General features: G+C 40.5%; 1 protein-coding gene and 1 non-coding gene across 177 annotated transcripts in view; both read left to right on the top strand.

The window, feature by feature from the left end:
* The window catches only part of PTK2 (protein tyrosine kinase 2), a 344180-nt gene that overhangs the window by 269222 nt on the left and 58953 nt on the right, over positions 1-16005 (top strand). For 166 of the 176 annotated variants that reach the window (NR_170673.1, NM_001352699.2, NM_001352746.2 and 163 more), the window contains one exon: positions 15149-15260. The exons of 6 other annotated variants lie outside the window; for them this stretch is intronic. Coding sequence is in view for 169 of the 170 variants with exons in the window: in NM_001352699.2 (NP_001339628.1) it covers positions 15149-15260 (112 nt within the window). In the remaining variant the exon portion in view is untranslated. Of the gene's footprint in view, positions 1-14288; positions 14542-15148; positions 15261-16005 lie in introns of those variants that run through there. 4 more of the 176 variants (NM_001352752.2, NM_001352751.2, NM_001352750.2 and 1 more) reach the window with 1 other exon arrangement.
* On the top strand, positions 205-294 carry MIR151A (microRNA 151a). The gene has a single exon (NR_029892.1). It is a non-coding gene; the product is annotated as a microRNA 151a (primary transcript).

Below are 16005 nucleotides of genomic sequence, written 5' to 3'. Positions count from 1 at the left end.
TCACGCACTGGGTCTTCTGTGACTTCACAGCTGACTAGCCTTCACCCTCTGAGTCTCCAAAGCTCTTTGTTCTTCTTGTCAGGCTTACCCTATGCTGCTATAGATGGCTGCAACCCGTGTTCAATTCAGTTCGATAAACACTGTTGAGCACCTACAGTAGCTGAGCCTGGTGCTAGTCACTGGGGCAAAGATGACTAAAACACTTTTCCTGCCCTCGAGGAGCTCACAGTCTAGTATGTCTCATCCCCTACTAGACTGAAGCTCCTTGAGGACAGGGATGGTCATACTCACCTCGGTGTTGCCCAAACCTCCAGGCCAGTAGCCTAGCTAGCTAGATACAGGAAGAGTCACCCAGGCACTGAATTCAAGGCTTAGAACATATGAGTGATTCTTAATACTAAGGAATGCTCCACTGAGGTAAATTATCTCCAAAAAGTATCCAATACATATTTTTAGAACTACATATAATTACTTTAAATAGGTACCTGTAGTATAATTTATGGATATCTTCTTATATACTACTAGCACAGGTAGTTGAGCATTCATTCATTCTGCATTGTTCTGTTTTAGAAATGGTGTTTAACTTTGCGTTTTGAACATATACAATTAGGCTACCAAATAGGCCACCATTTTATATTATAAAATGTCACTATATAATATAATTGCTTACTTGGACATTTGCATATAACAGTGTATCACAATAACTAAATAGGTTATTAATTTTTTTCAAAATTTTTATTATTTCCAAGATTTTAACAAAGAAATAATAAGTTTGGATAGCCCTTTGGTCGTTAAAATTATGGTAGTTAAAAATGTTTCCCAAATCCCATTCTTCTTCTTGACCTCGAAAGAATTCTCCTTCCCTACCTTGAAAGAATATTTGCAAGTAGACTCAAATTACTGTGGGATTCCCCTCATCTTTAACTGGAGTGTATGCGTGTGTATTTTATTTTGTTGAGGCGGGGTCTCCTCTGTTGCCCAGGCTAGAGTGCGGTGGCACCATCTCTGCTGCCTGCAACCTCCACCTCCCATGCTCAAGTGATTCTCCCACCTTAGCCTCCTGAGTAGCTGGGACTACAGGCATGCACACCACACCACCACACCCAGCTAATTTTTTGTATTTTTGGTAGAGATGGGGTTTTGCCATGTTGCCCAGGCTGGTCTCAAACTCCTGAGCTCAAGCAATCCACCCACCTTGGCCTTTCAAAGTACTGAGATTACAGGCATGAGCCACCATGCCCAGCCTTGTATATTTGTTTTTGACTATATTAGTTGAGAAGTGATTTTTGGTATGGAACATGTTGGGCAAACTCATAGGAAAATCACCTTGGTCCTACTTTGATGAGGTGATGTCTGTGACTCAAGGAACCTGTCCTTCCTACATCCTGTTTACTTATTCATAGGTATGAATTCATTGAGAAGTAGAATGAGATTAACCTGCCAGTGGCCTATTATCAAGTATAAAAAATTCCTCAATAGGAATACTTTCAATTGATCAACAGTGAAATTTTCTTATAATGCGTACTCTAGCATTTTTGTGCTTTATGACTGTCAGGTTATAAGAGCGCACCAAATATTTTTTGAGTGAAAAATCATTTAGCCGGGCGCAGTGGCTCAAGCCTGTAATCCCAGCAGTTTGGGAGGCCGAGGCAGGTGGATCACCTGAGGTCAGGAGCTCGAGACAAACCTGGCCAACATGGTGAAACCCCGTCTCTACTAAAAATACAAAAATTAGCCCGGCGTGGTGGCAGGCACCTGTAATCCCAGGTATTCAAGAGGCTGAGGCAAGAGAGTCGCTTGAACCTGGGGAGGCAGAGGTTGCAGTGAGCCGGTATTGCGCCATTGCACTCCAGCCCGGGAGACAAGAGTGAGACTTTGTCTCAAAAAAAAAAGGGGGGGGGGGGTTTAATTTAATTCCTGGTTACTTCAGTTAATTCTTTGTTAGGTACTATGACAGGGAAACCATAATAAACAGCTTTATTATTTGCCTTTTTGCAGGTATGTTCAAAAATAATATGTCCCAACAGTACTCTTCTTGACTAAGGTGTTGGTACCACTATTTTAAAAAAGAACATCAGCTTTATCTCATATTAGAAAAATATTTTAGGTTAATGTTAAAATTCTTAAATATATTTTAGGCAAATTAGGGCAGTAAACACAATTATCACTTTAAAATTTTGTGTTATGATTTTTGTATATTTTAAAACTTTTTATTGATGTTTAATAAACACACCAAGAAGTGACAGCTTACTGGATTTCCACCAGTTGGATACAGTCTGTCACCAGCAACCAAAATGAAAATACTACCAGCACCCCAGAAATCTTCCACATGCCCCTTTCTAATCACTGTTCACCCTCCAAGGGTAACCTCTATCTTGACCATAGATTGGTTCTGCCTGTTTTTGAACATGATGTAAATGGTATCAGTCAGTACTTACTTTATATATATAATTTATTTTACTCAACAGTTTGTGGGATTAATCCATGTTATTCGTGTAGTTATACTCAATTCTCATTGTTATATAGTGTTCCATTTGTGAATATCCTATAGTTTATTCCACTGTTGGTGGAAATTTGTATACTTCTAATTTGGGGCTATCAAGAATATTGCTCTGTGAAGTAGAGAGGATATAGTAAGTGTTGTGTAAACAGATTTACCTGAGGCTTTATGTTCTAAAGAACACCAGTCTCAAGTATCACCTTGGAAAGCAGTCCATGATTTTGAACTGGTCTTCTATCATTGAGCTCTTTAGGAATATTTTTAGAACCAGTACCATGTGCATTGATAGCAAGTCTCCATCCTCTGCAGTTAGCTCTTCTAGTTATAACATTGAAATAACTAGTAGTTATAGAGCAATGTCTGTTGGCAGGCATTGTGCCATGAACTTTTATACACTATTTCATCTTAATCCTCACAGTCCTGGGGCATACTACGTATAGGTAGTATCTTCATCGTTAGTTTACGATGATGAGGAGACTGAAACTGTGTGGTTAGGCACCTGATAGAAGGACACAGAGCTGGAATTCAAGCTAGGTCCACCTGAGTCCAGAGCTTGAGCTATAAGCTGTCATGCTCTACTGACTGCCTTGATGTTTATTGGCTAGAAGTCATTAAGTGTGCCTGCCATCTTATGATTTGGACTGGTGAGCAGGTTGTTAATATTGGTTAGTTAAAAAGGAAAAAGAAAGGAAAAAAATACTATTACAGAGAATTCCTGCAGCTTGTTTTCTTACATTGTTTGAGTATCAACCAAAGTCCTTAAAAGGAATGGCAGCATCACTAGCAGATGCACAGAGGCCCTACCCACGGGCTTTGAGGGGGACATGGCTTCCTTTTGTACTTTCAAAGTATTTTCTTACTGGTTTTACTTGTTTCATTGGCATATTTTGAGTGTGTTGTATTTTGCTTCTGTGGAACACAATAATTTCACATACAGTGGGGAGCCGATTTGGAAGTTTTGAACAAGTCACCCAGAGTTGACTTCAAGCAAATCAGAGCCAAGCCATGACACGGTGTCATCCAGAGAGCCTGCTGGGAACCGCTTGTATATAGAGCTTTCACTCCAGCTGGGGGGTGTTGGGAGTTTTTGTTTGGAGTTTTTGTTTTTGATTTTGTGCGTGCGTGTTTTTTTGGTTTTCAGTTTTTAGTTATTTGTCTTAACCATGTGCTGTCATGTTTTGCTTCTTAACTTTATCAAACAAAACCAGCCTTTGGGAGAGTGTTTGGTCAGGGTTATAGCTTAGCTCAGCATGGGTGCAGACAGATTTTCTTACTTTTTTTTTCATATCGCTTCTCAGTATCATACCTAAGTGAAGCTGCAAGGCATCTAAGGAACACAAACTATTTCAGTTGATCTGTGAGACTGCCAGTTCAAGCTATTATAGCAACACCTTGAGAGTAAATGGACATGTGTGCGTGTATCAATTTTTCAAAGAATGTTTAAAAGATTATGTGGCCTTGGGCAAGTTACTAAGCCTCCCTTGTAAGAGCAGGATCACAAATACTACCCATATTCTCAAGATTAAATAAATAATCTGGCCGGGTGCAGTGGCTCACGCTTGTAATCTCAGCATTTTGGGAGGCCAAGGCAGGTGGATCACCTGAGGTCAGGAGTTCAAGACCAGCCTGGCCAACATGGTAAAACCCCGCCTCTACTAAAAATACAAAAAAATAGCCGGGCGTGGTGGCAGATGCCTGTGAATCCCAGCTACTCAGGAGGCTAAGGCAGGAGAATCGCATGAACCCAGGAGGCAGAGGTTGCAGTGAGCCGAGATCGTGCCACTGCACTCCAGCCTGGGTAACAAGAGTGAAACTCTGTCTCAAACAAACATATAAATAAATAATCCATGTCCATTGCTCATGGTAAGCACACACACTGTGTTAGCTAATTTAGAAGTAGGTAGTAGTAACAACAGAGATTTTCCTGAAAATCCAGAAGGGACCTGGTGATCTTAGAGTACAGAAGAGTTACCAGTTATAGTTAGACATCCTTAAAAATATATAGTTATTTGTATTTAATTTTAAGGTAACCAGTAACAGAATCGTGCAAAATTATGAGCTTTGGAATGACAGATCTCACTTTGAATCCTGGCCCCACCACTTAATATCCTTGGGGAACATCTTTAACTTTTCTTTTTCTACTTTTTTTTTTTTTTTTGAGACGGAGTCTCACACTGTCATCTAGGCTGGTGTGCTGTGGCGCAGTCTTCTGCTCACTGCAACCACCACCTCCCTGCTTCAAGCAATTCTCTTGCCTCACCCTGCCGAGTAGCTGAGATTACAGGCGCGCACCACTGTGCTGGGCTACTTTTTTTTGTATTTTTAGTAGAGACAGGGTTTCGCCATGTTGGCCAGGCTGGTCCTGAACTCCTCACCTCAAGTGATCAACCCTCCTGGGCCTCCCAAAGTGCTGGGATTACAGGTGTGAGCCACCGCGCCCGGCCGTCTTTCTCTACTTTTCTAAAAAGTGTAGTACTCTTTCTACTCAGTAGCTACTTTCTAGGGTTCTTGTGAGATTTGAATGAGTATTAACTATTCTTATTATTCAGATAATAAGAATACCAAGATACTTGTTATCAAAATACCAAGCACATCTTTTTGATGTTTTATAGATGTATTATAGAGATATGAATTTTAAAATATTAATCTGTGAACAGCATCTTAAACATGTTTAACCTGTTTTGGATTCTTCCCTTATCCCACAACACGAACTTTAAATTAGAAGTTCTAGGTTTGATTAATGACATGAAATTGCTTGTACTACTGTGTTTTTTTTAAGCGATTTTGTATTTGCTTCCAAAATTCCTTTCAAAGGTGGTGTCTAAATTCCTCCTTAGTCATTATACCAGTATTTTTTTTTTTTTTTGCATTGCTATCCTATTGGGTCTAGATATTATCTAGAAGACTAAGCTGTTTCACAATTATAGCTACGTACAGTTAAAATGTTCACAGCATGTGAACTTCAGGAGTTTTTTGTTTGTGTTCTGTTTTGGCCCGCAGTCTTCCCAGTGATAAAAAACAAACTGCAAATCTGAATTTAATAGGAATTTAATGTAAAACGTAAATTGTTTCTACTGAAAATTATTCTTAGCTGCTTCATATCTAACAATAATTCTTACCCCTTTTTGGTTCTCACCCACACGTCCCTATCATAGTTCTGTCTTTGCACAATTTGCCAAAGTGCACAATTTGGCACTTTGAAACCAATAACTTAACATCCACCTCTCTTTCTCTGCCTTAACCTTTTTCTCAAACTTGCATTTTAGCAATACCTTTTGTATTATGTTTTCAGTGCTTGCTCTGGGAATTACAGTATACATCTTAACTTTTCATAGTTTAGTTAGAGTTAATCATTGTACTTCATATAAAATGTAGAAACTTTGCCAGCAGGAATGTCCATTTACCACCACCACCTTGGTCCATTATGCTGAAATTGTCATGTATGTTACATTCACATATGCCATTAACCCCACAAAATTAGTTTATGATTTTTATCTTAAATACCATTTTAAATAAAGTAAGCAAACTCACTCTTCTATATTTAACTTCGTACAGTGCTCCATTCTTCTTGAAGAGCTTATTTCCATTTGGTTTCCCATCAGATGAATAATTTTTTTTAGCATTTCTTGTGGTGCAGATCAGTTGGTGGTGAATTCTATTAGTTTTATATTATCTAAAAATGAGTTGAACTTAACTTTGTTGATAGGAATTTTGGGTTGACAGAGTTGTAATTTTTTTTTTCCCCAGCACCTTAAAGATGTTCTTTTACTGTCTTCTGCCCTGTTATGTTTAATGAGAAGTCACTGGCCATACAATTGTTACTTTGTATGCAGTGTGTGTTTTTCTCTGGCAGCTTCCATGATTTTCTTTCTTTGATTTTTCAGCAATTTAAGTAGGATGTGCTTGGGTGTGGTTTTCTTAATGTCAGTTGTGTTTAGGATTTGCTGAGCCTCTTGAATCTATAAACATATCTTTTATAAAATTTAGAAAAACTTAGATCATTGTTTCTTCAGATACATTTTTCTGTTCTATTTTCCCTCTCTTCTGAGATTCCAGTCGCACGTGTGTTAAGACTTCTGATGGTGTCCTTCAGGCTGAGTCCCAGAAGCTCTCGTTGTCACCTTCTCTTCCCCTTCCTCTTCCTCCTCTCCCCATTCCTGACCTTCCCCGCTTCAGATTGAATCATTTTTACTGACTTACCTTCAGGTACCCTAACTCCTTTTCTGTCATCCCCATCCTACTGATCACTTCATCCAATGGAGATTTTATTTCATATACTGTATTTTTTGGTAATAGAATTTTTGTTTGCTTCTTTTTTTTGTATTCTGTTTCTCTGCTGACATTTCCTATCGTTTCATCCATTATGAATAAATTTTCTTTTATACCCTTGAATATAATAGCTTCTTTTAAATCCTTGCTGATTTCAACATCTGAGTCATCTTTAGAATCAGCCTCCTTTAATTTTTTTTCCTCTTGAGAATGGGTCACATTTTTATGGGTTTTTTTTTTTTTTGTATATCAAGGAATGTTAGATTATATCCTAGACATTGTGGCTGATGGGTAGGTAGCAGAGCCTCTTTCCGCTGTGAGCAGCAGTGCAAATCTCTGTTCCATTATTTTAGCCTTAGCTGGGCTGCTTGGAGTCTGCACTGTGTGTGCATGATTCTAGGATCAGCAGAGATGTGTGCAGAATATATACTCAGAATTTGAAGCACTCCTTCTCTGCCTGTCTTCATTCTGGGATTTCTCCCTTCACTTTTTTCCGATTACCTTTTTGCTAGCTATAATTGCTCCAAACTCATTTCTCTGGTTATTCAAGCCAGTAACACTGGCGCCTGCCTTCTCACTAATGGCCACTGAAAAGTGGGGACCCACCCAGTGCCGTTCTCTTCCTTCTCATGACAGCTCCCTCCAGAATCTGGCTGCCTATGGTTGCTCTCCCATGCTGTCACAGTTGTTTCTTATATCCAGAGTATACAGTTCCTGTCTGCAAGAGGGTTGGTCAAATAAGAGCTACTCACACGTAGCAGAAACAGAAAAAGGTGTCAACATTTTAAAGTAACATTTGCGGTGGCTCATGCCTGTAATCTCAGCAACTCAGGAGGCTGAGATGGGAGGATCACATGAGCCCAGGAGGCCAAGGCTGCAGTGAGCCGTGATCGAGCCACTGCACTCCAGCCTGGGTGACAGAGCAAAACCCCAATTCAAAAAATAGAAAAAAATAAAGGTACAGTCTTAGTGGATATCAGGGTTTTTTTAAAAATAATTTTGAGATCGATACAGCACAATAACCAAACAAAAGACTTTATTTACTGCAGTTGGAGAAGCAATGAGAGAAATATGATTTCAATATATCCATGAAGCTGGATTTCCAGTCCACCTGGAGACTAAAGGCCATAATCTCCAGCATCACTGCTTAAGAGAAAAGAGAAAAAGAGCAGAGGCATAAGCAGTAATGCTGTGATCATGGCCTTTAGCTACTAGGTCAGCTACTTCCAGGTATGCCATCCCTAGCTTCATCTCAAACCTCAGACTTGTTTTCTGCAAAGACGGTAGGGTTTTGTTTGGTTTTGTTTTGTTTTTAAAAGGCCAATTCCATTCCTTTGTGGTGAAGCAGCGTTGACTAATTATAAGAAATCATGTTTCAAAACTGGTATTCCCATGAACTTGCCAAAACAAGCCAGTTCCCGCTTGACTTTTTTCCCTTCAAATTTATTGCTGTTCTCTCTCTGGGTGTTTTCTAGATTAACTTAAATAACTGCAAACCCAGACTGATTTTATATCCAAAGCAAATTTTATGATCAGGATCATAAAACAGATCCTTAGTTTTACATGATTCCTTTAAGTATCAAAATCCAATCTTTTTTAAAAAGTTTTTCTTCCCATATTTAATAAAGCAAAAAGTATTTATTACATTTAAAAGGAGAAATGTTTTGTATTTGCAAAGAGAAAAGTTAGTAGTACAGTCAGTCTCAGGGAAAATATTACAGAAATGAAGACAAAAACACAGTTCTTTCCTAGTGGTAAATGAGGCAGGTAAAATACAGAGCTAATTAACGTTTACTTAGAAGTTTACTAATTTTTTATTAATACATATGTTGTTTTTCCATTCTAACAATAGTTAGGGTAGACTGTGATTTTTACTTGTAAATGACAAAACAGGTTCAAGTAGGCAGGATCTCCTCTGGAATTGCATAACTCACCAGAGAAGCAGCTTGTTTATCTATCTGTTGCTTCTTCTGGGACAGCTTGAAGAAAAACACTCAGAATCAATTGGCCTTTTCTACTTCTGAAAATTGCCTTTGTTGGAGCTGTATTTTTGTGTCTTAGCTGTCCATACTGGAAATGAAGGACTACTTTCTTGCTCACCATCAAGTTGTATAGGGAATGTTGCAGGCCAAAAGAAGAAAATCAGAGCAACTGTTTTTATGTCCTTTTACTGTGAACTGATCACTTCAATGATTTTATTTTAAAGTAAGAGAAGTAAAAAATAAAACTAACACTAAATAAAGTACTCCTTTCCCCGCTTCAGGATTCTGTTCCTCAGTGGTGCACGTGGATCAATAAAGTGTAATTATCATTGTGCTAATGTTTGTTAAATGACAAGTCTCAGCTTTCATTGTTCCATCTATTTGCAAGTTTGAGACTTGGAAACCACCATTCTGGGAAAAAACATGAGGGCTCATTTGTTGCCAGTTCACATTAGGCAGCTAAGAGCTTTCAGATGGAATGTATTGCTACTAAAAATATTTATAGTTTGGGAAAATATGCTTCAGTTTGACCTCCTTGATACTCTGCACATTCTAGTTTGTTACTGTGGATTCTTCAGCAGCTGTAAAGAGAAAAGTTCAGTACTGTCTCCTTGTGCCCTCCTACTCCATCTATGGACTAGTCTTCCCATTGTAAAAACAGATATTTTTTATGAGTTATTTATATTCTTGGTTCCTCTGAGCAGCAAATTATGGTTTCTCAGAAACGTTTTGACAGGCTATTTTGGGTATGAGAATGAAGTAGTGAGATTGAAGGAACTTGCTTCCCAGTTGTCATTATGTTCTTTGAGGAACAACTCGGATGTTTAATTAAATATCAAAGTGTCTATAATATGCAAGTGATACTTAGCTTACAAGAGAAATTAGATTCATGTCTGACAACTGTAGGGAGTTTACAAGCTAAATTCCACAACATGGCAATATGTGATTAAGGGCTGAAATGAAACATTCAGGCAGTAAATTCAGTGGGTCAGAGAATAGGGGAAGTGTGTGTAGGTAGAAATATCAGGGCAGATGGAGCCTGAGAGAGTCTTCTTGTGGCAAGGGACTCCACAGGGTCCTTTTAGAGATGCTTGGGGAAAACAGTAAGTAGCCTTAAGATCAGAGTGGCCCATTTCACAAAACAATCTGTGTGAAATAACATTGCCTGATGAGAACCCATTTAAAACTGAGTTCCCGTTGCCTTGAAGAATATGTCCCACTTAGCCTTCTCTTAGCTTGCCTTTATTTTAATTATTTGAAGGAGTAGAAGAAAAGACACTTGTTTTCCCCAATTTTTTTTCTTGATTTTTATGGACTTTTTACCTGTTTAAAACTAAAACTTTTACAAACTCTGACTGAGGGTGTGGTGTTTATTTTAAGGGTGAGGCAATAGAGAGCAGGGCACTGTAAAACCACTAACCAGGGATGTGCTTCTCTCTCAGGCCAGCTAGGCCTTCTTTGCTCCTGGTCTCTGACTGGTCTCCTGCTCCCAGTGACCATTCGCAGGTCCTTTCCTGTTTGGCCAGTTGAGAGAACAGGGGCTGGGCATGGTGGCTCACATCTGTAATCCCAATACTTTGAGAGGCTGAGGTGGGAGGATCACTCCAGCCCAGGAGTTCAAGACCAGCCTGGGTAACACAGTGAGATTTTTATTTATTATTTAATTGTTACAAAAAATAAAAAAGAATCAACCAGGCCTGGTGATGCACCTGTAGTCCCAGCTACTCGGAGGGCTGAGGTGGGAGGATTATTTGAGTCCAGGAATGATCGTGCCACTGAACTCCAGCCTAGGCTACAGAGTTAGACCCTGTCTCAAAAAAAGAAAAAAGAAATTGGCCAGGCACAGTGGATCACACCTATAATCCCAGCACTTTGGGAGGCCAGGGCAGGGGGATCACTTGAGCCCAGGAGTTTGAGACCAGCCTGAGCAATAATAGCGAAACCCTGTCTCTTTAAAAATAAAAATAAATTTAAAAAGAACAGGAAGCTTGGTAATGTGCTCTTCTTCACTAGTCAGTAGACCTGCTCCACTGATAGGGCTTTATTCATCCATTTACCTGTCATTTATTAATTCCTATTATGTTTCAGGGTCTGTGCTAATTCTGAGCATTTGAAAATGGGCCTTCAGGTAACAACTTTTGGCCTAATGGGAGCAAAAGTCAAACAAACAGATATTTACAATGCCTTTTGGCAAGAGTTAAGAGCAAGTTAGGCACTAGTTTCTTTGGAAGAGAATAAGGAGAGTAATGTAACTTAGCCTAAAGGGAGGAGGGAGCTTCAGGGAAGATTTTTCTGGAGGAACTACTATTTGACACTTGAAATACAAGTAGGAGTTGGCCAGAGAAAGAAGAGAAAGGTGTTCCAGGCAAGAGACACAACATAAAGAGGCATGGGAGAGCATAATGACTTCGGAGAACTTGCCAGGACATAAAGGAAGAAGGTGTATAGGTGAGGAAAAAGGGAAGTGAAGCGAGATTAATCACTTCACTTTTAAAAGCAATGGTAGTTCCCGCCATGTGTGCACATGCCCTAGCTCTAAAAAAAAAAATACATATTTTTAACTCCTTTAGCAGCCTTTTGAGGTATGGATTTACTGGTGTTTTATGATCTAGAAAGTTAAGATATACCTTCCCACATTTTCATTGGTAAATTCTCAGGACTGGGTGAAGCTATATTACCTCATACCAAAGTATCAACTCCTATTCCTTATAGTTGTAACATCTTTACATTTGTCAAGTTCAAAGACATTGTATATCAGTGACTGTTTTAGCAGGCATATTCTTGATCTGTTGGTTTGATTGATAGCCAGTCTTAGTAGTTGTATTGCTAACACTTCATAGGTGATTAGATGGATTTGTAAAAAGACATGGTTGCTCCTTTGTATCTCAAGCTCTACTTGGATATTAACTCATTTGAAATACTTGCACAGGCATATGGTGTAAGCCTGTAGTCCCAGTTACTCTGGAACGCAGGAGTTCAGGACCAGCCTGAGCAACTTAGTACCATTCCATCTCTTTTAAAAAAAAAAAAATAAAGAAAGAAAGGTAGGAGGCCAGGCATGGTGGCTCATGCCTATAATCCCAGCACTTTGGAAGGCCAAGGCGGGCGGATCACTTGAGGTCAGGAGTTTGAGAGCAGCCTGGCCAACATGGTAAAACCCCATCTCTACTAAAAATACAAAAAATTAGCCAGGCATGGTGGCACATGCACCTGTGGTCCCAGCTACTTGGGAGGCTGAGGCAGGAGAATCGCTTGAACCTGGGAGGTAGAGGTTGCAGTGAGCTGAGATCGTGCCACTGCACTTCAGCCTATGCAACAGAGCAAGACTCCGCCCCAAAAACAAGAAAGAAAGAAAGAAAAAGACTTAGAGCTCTTTGTGGGAATGGTAGCCATTAGTTACACAGGATATTATCTGATGGGGAATTTCTAATAGTTCCTTCTATTTTTTAAAAGCTTCTTGCATTTCAGAGCTCGTCACATAGGTTGTCTAATTTTCATTTAGATATTCGCAACAACCCTTCAAGATAGGTAGTTAGGGAGGTACCCCATTTTGTGGATGAGGCTTGGAGGGACAGAGTTGTCCATGGTCATCTAACCTGTCTATGGTAGAATTTAAACCTGATGTCAGTGTGACTCAAACTCCTTGAGTTTGATTGAGCCTTGCTGTTTTCCCATCCGGTTTTTTTTTTAACCACTAATGATCCCTGAATTTACTCAGCTTAGTTAAACATCTAATAGATCATGATAATGCATGTATTTTATCTATATGCAGTATTTGTTCATTTAGCAAATATTTAAGTGTCAGCTATGTGCCAGGCACTGTTTCAAAGTATAACAGAAGGTGTTTTTTTAAGTCATAAATTAAAATAAATAAGGAAAATTGAAATATAAAGGTATTTATTTTCACATAAGAAATGGACAGAAAGCATTGCTGTGCTTTGGTCATGTAATGCTCGTTACATTTCCAAAAGCACACAAACATTATGTGCTTGGTGTGAGTCTGTAACTGTGACCTGCTGAGATGCTGTGACTCTTCCTCCCAAACCACCCCCAGTGCCTGGGACAGTGTCCTCTCCCGCTTAGTTCTGCAGCTAGAACGTACCAGGCCGAGCTCTTCTCTAGTGCTCATCACAACATTTGTGTCCTGTTTCAGGGTGTTTGTTGTTGTTGTTGTTGTTGTTGTTGTTTTTGATTTTTTTTTTTTTTTTTTTTTTTTTTTGGTGAGACAAGTCTCACTCTGTCACCCAGGCTGGAGTGCAGTGGTGCTATCTTGGCTCACTGCAGCCTCCACCTCCCGGACTCAAGCGATCCCACCTCAGCATCCCAGAATGCTGGGATTACAGGCATAAGCCAACTTGCCTGGCCCTGTTTCAAGGTTTTGAGTTTTCTTTTCTGTTAGAGCACCTCAAAGACCTCGTCACGTGCATCTTGCACAGAGCAAGTTAGCAAAGTTAACAAATACTTGCTGAATGAGCAGCCCTCAAGTAAATGCCATCAGAAATACCCACTGATGACAACTAACGCTTATAGCAGATGCTCTCATAGCCATGATCTCCCTTAATCCTCCCAGCAGCGGAGGGGAGCGCTCTTCTGATTGGAGGGGCAGGGCAGAGAGAGTGGCCCTCTCAGGACCCCTCTGCTCCTTCCCCAGACCTGGCCCCAAACTTCCCTGCACCACTCACCAGGACTCACCTGGGCCTGGCACATGGGACCAGGTTCCCAACAGTGCTGGCACCCAGTGAGCATCTTGCCTGTCTGTCAAGGCTGCTGCAGAATTCTTAAATACTGTGAAGAGTTTTGTGGTGTTTGCTCAGCCATGATCATCTAACTGGAGCAAGAAAGAAACCAAAATCGTATCTTGAGAATGGAGTGGGACTTTTGATTAAAAGCTTTTATGTAAAATGCTTATGTGATTTTGGGGGTTTTTTTTTGAGGTGGAGTCTCATTCTGTTGCCCAGGCTGGAGTACAGTGGCGTGATCTCAGCTCACCCCAACCTCCGCCTCCTGGGTTCAAGGGATTCTCCTGCCTCAGCCTCCCGAGTAGCTGGAACTACAGGCACGCGCCACCACACCGGGCTAATTTTTGTATTTTTAGTAGAGGTGGGGTTTCACTATGTTGGCCAGGCTGGTCTTGAACTCCTGACCTCGTGATCTGCCCACCTTGGACTCCCAAAGTGCTGGGATTACAGGCGTGAGCCACCATGCCCGGTCCTGATGTGATCATTTCTTGAGGCAGACATTCCCTTTTGTTTTGGGGATGAAAAACGTCTTAACATCTGTAGTGATGGTTTGCTGACTTGGGGCAGTTATGAAATACATTTTGTCTCTTTTCCTGACTCAGAAGGTGACTGTGTAAGTTGAGTTGTGTGAGAAACAGCACATTCTAGCCTCCAGCCAAGCAGGAATGTCTTTTTAAACAGTTGAGCAAATTCCCAGATTAGAAAGTCTGGTGCACTGATGTCACTCTTTCCTGAGTAATTTTTGGGTGGTTGTTTACTGCACACTATCTACCAGGAGCCTAGAAACTTTGAATGAGTGTCATTATTAGAACTCTAGAGTTGTAGGAATGTAGGAAGAGCTGTTTGCCACAGTTAGGACGAGGGTTTCAAACTGTCTGCTGAGCCCTGGGGCATCTGCGTGGAATGGGAAACTAGCAAAGTCTCGCTTTGGCTGCATTCTGAGGGGTTTATGTGATGGCAAACAGCCAAGATGAAGAAGCTGCCTAGCAGTCGCTGCAGCGGCTGCAGCGTTATGTGGGACTTCAGATAGCTTCTGAGTAGTCAAGCAGTGGTAAGTAGCAGTGTTACCAACTTATGGGGTTTCCAGCTTAAAGCAAGTAGTATTTTCAGAAGCACTTGTAAATACTGTTGTGTTTTTGCTTATTTTCCTGATCAGATAAAGCACTGGTTAAGCTGAACGATAGGAAGATTGTATTGAGCAATTTAGGGAGATTATTGGCCAGATTGCTAATTGATCACGTAAGTGCTGGCGTGATCACATTAGGTGTGAAAAGAATCTGTCCTCAGACATGTATATGCTTGATAAAGTGCTGCGTGGGATTTCTCAGAGGAATTCTGTTCTGCTCAAGATAAACTTTGGCATGCAAACATTTCATCTTGGCCCATCCTTCATTTTCTGCAACCTCTTTTTCTTACCAGCTGTCTTTTTCTTACCTATGGCTGTGCTTTAAATGGACTTGCCCATTTGGACCAAGGCTATTCTAGAATCATTTCGTGGAGAGTTAGAAACCTGATCCTTCTTTCCCCTGTGTATAGGATCCTTTATTGTTATCATCTACTGTTAGCCAACTGGTGTTCCTTAGATAACTCAGGGTGGGGTCTAGTGTGTGCTAACTCTGGGTTGTCAGCTCCCCTAAGACAATGTGTTGTCTCTCTAGCACAATCCTGGAGGAAGAGAAGGCTCAGCAAGAAGAGCGCATGAGGATGGAGTCCAGAAGACAGGCCACAGTGTCCTGGGACTCCGGAGGGTCTGATGAAGCACCGCCCAAGGTAGCTACAGTCCCCACCCCAACTTTGGGGTTACTCTTACTAACTTTCAAGATTTACAGTTAGGCAGCTGTTTTCTATGAGGAGAAAGTCAAATATCAGGTTATTCTAAGAGTAATAGTTATAACACCAACTAATTGTTTCCTTTTTGCTCGTCTTCTCGTATTACCCTCATGTGCACTCACTTTCCTCATTTGTATTTCAAGTAGGGGCTCTTTGAAGCCATGAGCAGTTGGACAGATGTCATCTTAAAATGCTTTTCCTATGCTGCCCTAACTTGGAGGAGGTTTTTCCTTTGTTGATTGTCAGAGATCTCCCTAATGATCAAGTCTGGATTAAAATACCAGACTAGGTCACAGATGCTTTGCATTTTGCTTTATTTAAAAATGAGTCTGTCTCTACCTGACCATATTCCTTTGTTTTGTTTGTTGAGAACTCTGCACATTTTTTGCCTTTTTCTTTCGTAGCTGGTGGCTGGGTTGTTTGTTGGGAAAGAGAGCACATTGCAGTTGCTTTTGTTTCCTTAATAAGATCTTCCGGCAGCATCCTTAGACCTTACTTGCCCGCTTATGTTCTTATCCTTTACTGGTGCCCTCTCCTGCCTCGGAGAGGTCAGCCCAGGCCTTTTACAGTTGCTGGGCCATGCCATGGCTGGGGGTTTTAGCCAGAGTAACACTTGCCCTAGATTAATAAGTCTTTATATACCATTGGCTTTTGACAGGATGCTATTTTCACACACTGGGTTACT

The sequence above is a fragment of the Homo sapiens genome, chromosome 8 (assembly GCF_000001405.40).
Source record: "Homo sapiens chromosome 8, GRCh38.p14 Primary Assembly".
Classification (NCBI taxonomy): domain Eukaryota; kingdom Metazoa; phylum Chordata; class Mammalia; order Primates; family Hominidae; genus Homo; species Homo sapiens.
Note: the sequence above shows the minus strand (reverse complement) of the source record. Positions and strands in the feature narration are given on the sequence as shown.